This window comes from Homo sapiens, chromosome 2, assembly GCF_000001405.40.
Source record: "Homo sapiens chromosome 2, GRCh38.p14 Primary Assembly".
Classification (NCBI taxonomy): Eukaryota; Metazoa; Chordata; class Mammalia; order Primates; family Hominidae; genus Homo; species Homo sapiens.
In genome coordinates, this window is record NC_000002.12 from 169,029,251 (window position 1) to 169,037,296 (window position 8,046).

An 8,046-nucleotide genomic window follows, 5' to 3' on the forward strand; every position below is an offset into this window, starting at 1 on the left:
AAACTACAGTTTTCTTTTCTTTCTTTTTTTTTTTTTTAAAGCCCTTAAAACGTCTTTCACTGCTGACATTTAAAAATGTAGGTAGGATACTTTTGTTATTATCAGCTCAGCAAATGATTTCTTTATCTAAAAGATTATTAGAGAAGGAAAGAAACATTTAATATATGCTAAGAAACAAAGAAAATAGAAAGGCATTATTTTCCAGATAAGCTCACTGTCGGTTGATGCTGTGTGTCAACACTGTGGGTGACCCAGTCTGGGAATAGACTAAAATGAGGCCCTTCCAGCCCTGAGGGCTATGGCTGATAGGGAAGGGAAATAAATACACGGTGATCCCATTGGCCACGTAAGTCCTTTCTTCAGAGGCACCGTTGAGGTAGAGGACTAAAGAATTGCTTAGGAAGAAAACAGAATGTAACACCAAAGTTAACTGCCACAGCGATTCTTTGTCTCTAAATGTACAGTTCTTTCCTCTTTTTTTTTTTTTTTTTTTTTTTTTTTTGAGAGGAGTCTCGCTCTGTCGCCCAGGCCGGACTGCGGACTGCAGTGGCGCAATCTCGGCTCACTGCAAGCTCCGCTTCCCGGGTTCACGCCATTCTCCTGCCTCAGCCTCCCGAGTAGCTGGGACTACAGGCGCCCGCCACCGCGCCCGGCTAATTTTTTGTATTTTTAGTAGAGACGGGGTTTCACCGTGTTAGCCAGGATGGTCTCGATCTCTTGACCTCATGATCCACCCGCCTCGGCCTCCCAAAGTGCTGAGATTACAGGCGTGAGCCACCGCGCCCGGCCAGTTCTTTCCTCTTGACCAAGCAAAACACAACTCCAGTATTTGATTTCTGCAATGAAACTTGGGCATTTTATGGCAATTGTAGCATCTTTTAAAACCACAAAATGGGCATTTTCCCCCTAAATAGCTTCTTAATCCATTTTTAGGAGTCATCCCCTAATATTTGTCACCATTATTCTTGGTACTAGGAAACAAAAATTATTCAAGGGGCTTGCAATCTAGAGTGGGGTGGAGTGTAAACAGAAGCTCCTAGACAGGGAAATGGAGGCTTCAACCAGAGACAATCACAGTGTTACAGAGCACAGCAGGGGGAACCAAGGTGAGGGGGGTGAGCAGTGAGGGGACGAGGTTGCCCACAGAAAAGAACTTCTATTAAACAACAGCTCATAAATAAGTTATCACTTCAAATGTTTAATAAAAACCACTACTAACTCCTAATATTAAAAAGTTTTAGGTATAACCACTATAATTTGTCTCTAACATCTCTAAAAAGCTATTCCCCCTCAAAATGTTGACAAATACTGTCTTTTATTCCCAGTCTGAAGTGTGAATAATATTTGATCTCTGTGCTCAAGCCATTAGCAATATGTGACTCCCACTGGCTTGGGTGACCTAAAAACTGAAATTAGATCCTAGAAACAAACTTTCTCCCCTCTAAACATGCATCCACAGCTCATTTTTTTTTGCATCTATATTTTTGAAAACCGGGACAATGAAGAAATGAGTACGGTGTTGGAGAAAAGATAAAGTCGGTGTAGTTCTGCATTAAACCAGCTTTCAAGGGTAGAATTTGTGATCATTGAATCTGTGATTATCAGAGCAAACAGAATTGTGCTTTCACAAAGCCAAGTTAAAAAAGAAGCCCACTGGTATTTTTACTTTGAGCAGATTATTCAATCTATTCGGCCATTTGTACCACACACCCATGTACACCACTCTCTCTCTCTCTAAGAGATTGATACATGAAATAGCATTGCTATAAAGAAGACAGCAACCAAGAGTCATCTGTATTGTATACAATGTTGTGAAATCATTAATGCATCCTGTAAGTTTCTATCCAAGTATTGTAGCGTTGTTTACACTGGACAAGAGACCAATGTTTAATAAACCAGAAACACTCCACTCCACAAAGTAAGAGTTAAAGGGAAGAGGGAATGGATTTGCAGAGACAAGTATAAGTTACTTACCTGTGAATATGAATTTGAGGAAGCCAGAGGAAATAATGGACTCCACTGTGGAGAGTTAAAAGGTTTCACAACCTTTTCCAACCTCGGTTTTCATCATTCTAAAGCACTGAACAGAATTCAAACTTTTTCAAGAACATTATCTATTTGCCTAAGGATCAATGTCCCTAAGGGCAGCCCAAGCACAGTTCAGTGACATACGAGAAACATACTCAGAGCAATAACCCCAAACACAGAGTGTGCTTGGGAAACCCTCTGAGGGTGTCAACAGGCCTTGGAAATTGCTGATTCACCTTGGAACGAGAGGCAAATTGAGCAGAGTGGGCCCAGCAAGAGCCCTGGAATTCAGGCTATCCCAACCCTTATTTTTTACAGGCCTGTAGTTGTGAAAAGTTACTTAAAAACATAACAAGACAAAAAAAAAAAATACCTTTAAACTTTCCCCCTCAATATAAAAGATTGCTCTTGGAAAATCCCTGGTTGCAGGATCCAGATGCTCCTGGCCCAGCTATAGAGTTTTGTGGAGACAAATACCCTAAAAGAACATTTGAAACAGCCTTGCTCAAAAGTCTGAGTGCACAGACAACTCTTGCACCCTGGCATGGACACACCAGATGAAGCTCTGTATAAGCAAAGATGAACGATTTTCTAAAGGTTCAAATGAACAGGTCTTGAGTCAAATAAGCATGTGGAGCTCCTCCAATATATTTGTGCTGCCTCTTCCTCTCCCTTCTTGTGAATCTTTCCATTTTTCCTACAATGTTCTTATTTTTTCTCCTTTGCCTGAGCTTACTTTTCCCTAAATGCCTCTCACTCCAGCCTTCAGCAATGAATAATAATAGGCAACATTGGTCAAGACTTGGTTGGGTGCCTGGCCCACTTCAAAAATGTTATTTGTATCACCTCATTTGGGCCTCTCAACAGCCCTAGGAGTTGGGTGCTATCATGTCATTTCTATTTTATAGTTGGGGAAACTGAAGCACAGAGAGGTTAAATAATCCTCCTAAGGTGTAACAACTAGTAGATGTGAAGCCACATGCCAGTCTGTGCTAACCTTCTTCCACTCTGTGCTCTGAAATGCAATTGATGGGCCAGTGCTTCTTAATTTGCAGAAATTAAACTGTAAGATCAAATTTTCTCAATTTTAGGTTTCTCTGTCATAAATTTTTTATTAAAATTCAGCATCCACCATTTTTTCTCTATTGGAATTTATGTATAAGATGGTTTATGACTTAGCCCATAAAACCCAAAATTATAACATATAATTTTATATGTTATTATATGTTCAAATCTCAAATATATCAAGGTCAGCAAAGAAAAGCAAGATTTCTAGATGTTTCCTCTATGCAAACTGAATGGGTTGACTTCTGAGTTGACGCAAATGTAGTAATATTGGATTTGGCACCAATTAGGACCCAGGAAAAAAATTTTGCTTCACACAAAACCAAAAAGGCAACACAGCTATGGGGCTGTAGCTTTGATTGGGAAAAGATTCCCAATAGAATTTTGCTACCTTTGCTGTGCTGAAGTTATTGACAGCAGTCAAAGGGTAAAAATGCCAAGAGAAATTTGTCAACTCAGGACTATAGCTGATCTGCTCACAGGTCCAAGGGTCCTAAGACTTTCCTTCTGGTGCCATGAAGATCCAAGGGAAGATAAAAGCATAGAGTTTTAGAGCTAGAAACAACATTGTAAATATTGATATATCATCCAACAACTTCATCTTATAGATGAGAAAAGTGAAGACAGAGTGGCCATCTGTCCAGGGCCCTGGAGAGTTCAGGGTGTCTTCCTCTGCACCCTCATGCTGGCCAGACACATCTGGGCAGTGTGAGTACTGAGTTGATCGTGCTTAATTCACTTCAGCTATAAGCTTGTCTTCTTTATGGTTCACGGTCTGAAAATAGGTAGGGTTGTGGTCCCTACAGTCACCCAATTAAAATACCGGCTCTTTTTGAATGTTTATGTGCCAAACACTGTTCTCAGTTCTGGGATTCAGGAATGAATAAGACAGACGAGAATCTCTGCCTCAGGAATCTTACATTCTGGGGGCAGGGAGGGGGCAGTATAGAGAGGAGACAAAGAAGTAACACATACAATACATCAGATGGTGTAAATGGTATGGAGAAAAGCATTGCAGGAAAGGGATATGATAGGGAGTGTGTGTACGTATGCTGTGTGAGAGAGAGAGTGTGTTTGTGTATGTGTGTGTGTCAGTTAGCGTGTGAGGGGAGAAGGATGTTGCCATTTTTAACTGGGTTTTATGGAAGGGCCCACTGAGATGGTGACATATGAGGAATGACCTGAGGGAGGTAAAGGAACAAGTACATGGGTATCTGGGGAAACCACATGGGCAAAGCTCTGGGCAGGAGCATGCCTGGTGTATGTAAGGAAGCTGAACCTGGAGTGGAGTAAGCAAGACTGAAGTCAGCTGGGGATTATGTCAGTGTGGCGGGAATCATGGAGTGCCATGAGCTCACAGGGCAGTGGCTCTGAAAGTGTGACTACTGGACCAGCAGCAGCCTCCTCATTACCCAGTAGGAATGTATGTTCTTGGTCCTTTCCTGAGACCTACTGAATCAGAAACTCTGGGAGTGGGGCCCAATGAGCTGAAGCTTGAGGACCACTCCTGTAGAGCCTTGGAGGTCACTGTGGACCAATTTGGAACCTGTTTCAAAACCTTAGCAAAAATGTCTCAGAGAAAGCTCTAAACCACAATGGTAGAATTCAGCCAATAGTTGTTTAAAAAATATTGAAGATTGCACTATGGAAGAGATAAAAGAAGTTGCCATTATTTTACTCTTTGAATCATTCAAAAACTGATTGAGTATCTTCTTTTTACAAGACACTATGTCAAATGTTACGCTGGCTACCAAGTTGTACACATTACAGTTAGTGTCCTTGAGAAAGTTTTAACCTTAAAAGGATAATAAAGCTTAGTATATAAACCAAGTAAGAATAAAAAAGAAGAACAGCAAATGTTATAATGTTTGATGCAGACCTTAAGTATTTAAAAAGTGACCCATCAGTATGGATTCTCAAAGAAGGAAGGACTTGAGTTATATCTCAAAGTATGAGAGGGACCAGGTCATAAATACAGCATGAGTGCACACAGGCAACATTGAAAGGACCAAGATGGCTGCTGAGAGAAGAGGCAAAAAGTGGCTTGTAAATTTGCTTAAGTAGGTGAAGAAAGACAAAGAAGGGCTTTCAGTGCCAGTAGGATGAGTTGCATGCAGTCTAAGATAAGAACTTCTGTTCACGGCCACCCAGGGCCAGTGTTTACAAAGCTGAGCCACAAGAAGGATGGGTTAGGCAGGAAGTCTTGCACATGCACACCAATCACAGAAGCTGGTTATTACCACCCTGAAAATCAATATAAATTGTGTAAAGCCAGCATGAGTCAGTTAACACAATATAATTGGCTATGTTTTTTTGTGGCATAGAGACTAGCAGAGAGAAAAATGTCTAAATTAGAGCTTTCTTAGGTAGCTTATGTATTTTTAAAGCAAGCTGTGTGGAAGGACACAATTTCTGTAGTTTAGTTGACTGCAGAGGGAGGCAGAATGGTATAGTGAAAAGAGCACAGGCTTGTGAAGTCACAAAGAACTGGCTTTAGATCCTGGTTTTGCCACTTACTTGTTGGATGATTTGGTTAAGGTAGTGATACTTGCTAATTATTTCCCCTCATGTGAAGTCCAGTAGGCCTTGAATAAGGGGAAATCGGTGTTGGGCAAAGGTGCTCTGCTCCATGCAGTCATTCAGAGACCCAGGCTGACAGAAGCTCTACCATCCTCAACATGTGGCTTTTAAGGTCTCCTTGGACATGGACATGTATCCATCACACAGGGAAGAGAAAATATGGAGCATTTTGTATGGAAAGTTCCTGTGGGCCAATCCTGGAAGTGGCATCCATTACTTCTACTCAGATTCCACTGGAGAGGACTGTGCCACATAACCACACCTAACTGCAAGAAAGATTGGAAGATAAGGTCAGGCTGTGTGTCTGGGAGGTTTAGTTAAAAGTTAACCAATCTCAAGAGATGGTCTTTGAAATCACAAAGGTTTGTGTTCACTTACTAGCTATCTAACTTTGGACAAGTTACTTAATCTCCATTAGCCTCAGTTTCTTCATCTGTAAAATGGGAGTGAGAATACCACCTGCACAGGATGATGAGGCCTGCCTGAACTTCCCTGTGCCATAGATTCTGGATTGGGAGTTCCTCCCCCAAGTAGCCATTTAATTGAATTGTGTATATTTTTTTACCTACCAAAATTAGTGTATTCCTAATTTTGTCATGTACACATGTAGAAAAGACTGGAAGAAGTACAATATAAAAAGTGCTTATCTGTAGGTTATGCAAATGTGAATGAGGGTGGTTTTCATTTTCTTCCTCATGCTTTTCTGCATCTTCTAAATTATATACAATAAGGGTAAACTATTTTTTAAACATATAAGTTATTAAATGAAAATAATGAATATGACAAAGGAAATATCAATAATAATGCATAATAAAATTTTATTAATGATTTTTAGAAATACATAGAGAGTACAACTATGTGGGTGTTCTCCAAATATTAGCTGTAGTTCAGTCATTGCTTTTTTTCTGGGAAAACTCTGACTTCTGCAGAAGGGATGGGGCCGTCATCTGGACATCACAAGCAAAGTTTCTGTGGATTCAAAGCCCATTAAGAACTTGCTTTATCCTAACACAGACCAGCCCTGTGTCATGGTACCTGATGCTCCTGCTCAGTGGTGTGCCCTGAATGTCCTGAACCTGGAGGTAGATCCACCCTATCCCAGCTCTCTGCCTCATCTGGCTCTCCCAAAAGCTGGCTATCACTGATCCCCTTTGGCTCAGTGCCTAGTTTGCTCCACCTCCACATCATGTCTGGGTAGGGCTCCTGGAATTCCTTCAGGCCTCACTTGTGGGCCATTTAGAGTAAAATAGTGGGCACATACAACACTTCATTATGGTCTTCAAACCATGTTTCCTTTAAGATGATCTTAAGGACGAAAGTAAGAAATAGTGAGTTGAGTAAGTCCAATGTATTATTAAATGTTTTATGCTCCCTCTGTAGAATTAATAACGCCAAATAAGACTAATTACAATCCTAGCAAGTTGTCATTTATAGTTATCTAAATGAAATACATTGATCTCCACAGCACTCAGTACTTGGTTAGAATTTATATTTTTGGTTCTCCCTCTAATGAGGAAAACCAGCACAAAAAATATGGACTTCATTCATAAGCAAATCTTTTCTGATGTTTTTGAGTGCGGTAGTTCTTGTCTTTCCCTGAAGGCTCATTATTGTGCATAAAGTTATAAAAATTATAAGGGTACCTTTATAATTGCCAAATGAAAAGAAATAGGTGAAATAAATAAAGAAGAGGAATCAGAGAGAATTCTGCTACAGAACAAAAGTCAATTATAAGTAATTGTGCCTGCAGTGTTGAATACTCATTTGAACTGTAGAATTTATCACTCGCAAGGGGCAAGTCTGCCTGGGGGTATGGGTAGATTGGATTTTCATGTCTTGGCTTTATCCAGGACACCTCCCTTCTTAAAGTCATGTTTCAGTCGTGGAAACTATTCCTTTGTTGAGGTGGAAGAGGAGGTGATAAGAAGTGGGTGCTTGTTAATAGTCAAGCATAGGTCACAGTGATCTATGTCAAGTGGTTATAAGTAAGCTGTGGGTGGTGCCTACTACTCCCTAGCTTAAAGCAAGGCAATTCATACTCAATGCAACATGCTTAGGTAATAAGAAACTAGTTTCACCAAATTAGTCAACACATCTTTGGTCAGCAATCTAGTTGCCTCATGAAATCAAGATTCAGTTCTCTATATGAGCTTTTCGATCTAAGTAAATGTTGTTATAAATGTCGTTAAACTAATATTTTTATCTTTGAAGGGGAAAAAAGGAAGGCAGACATATTATTTTTATTGTTATGTTTCATATGGCTGTTCATAACTTTCCAGTTCCACCCTTACTAACCCTGGGTGACTCCTCACGACTCCAGGAAACTTAGGTTGTGAAACACTGCTCTGAAGCCATAAGCTGTCTAGACCTGGG

General features: G+C 40.4%; 1 protein-coding gene across 5 annotated transcripts in view, besides 1 other annotated feature; it reads right to left on the reverse strand.

Moving 5' to 3' along the window:
* The window catches only part of ABCB11 (ATP binding cassette subfamily B member 11), a 115,935-nt gene extending 113,861 nt beyond the window's left edge, over window positions 1-2,074 (reverse strand). For all 5 annotated transcript variants that reach the window (XM_017005165.2, NM_003742.4, XM_011512078.3 and 2 more), the window contains exon 1: window positions 1,975-2,074. The gene's annotated coding sequence lies outside the window, so the exon portion shown is untranslated. The remainder of the gene's footprint in view (window positions 1-1,974) is intronic.
* Window positions 5,049-5,343: an enhancer, noted in NCBI's record as "tiled region #4346; K562 Activating DNase matched - State 5:Enh". NCBI's record gives its function as "activates a minimal TATA promoter and a strong SV40 promoter by Sharpr-MPRA in K562 cells {active_cell/tissue: K562}" and the evidence as "EXISTENCE:reporter gene assay evidence [ECO:0000049][PMID:27701403]".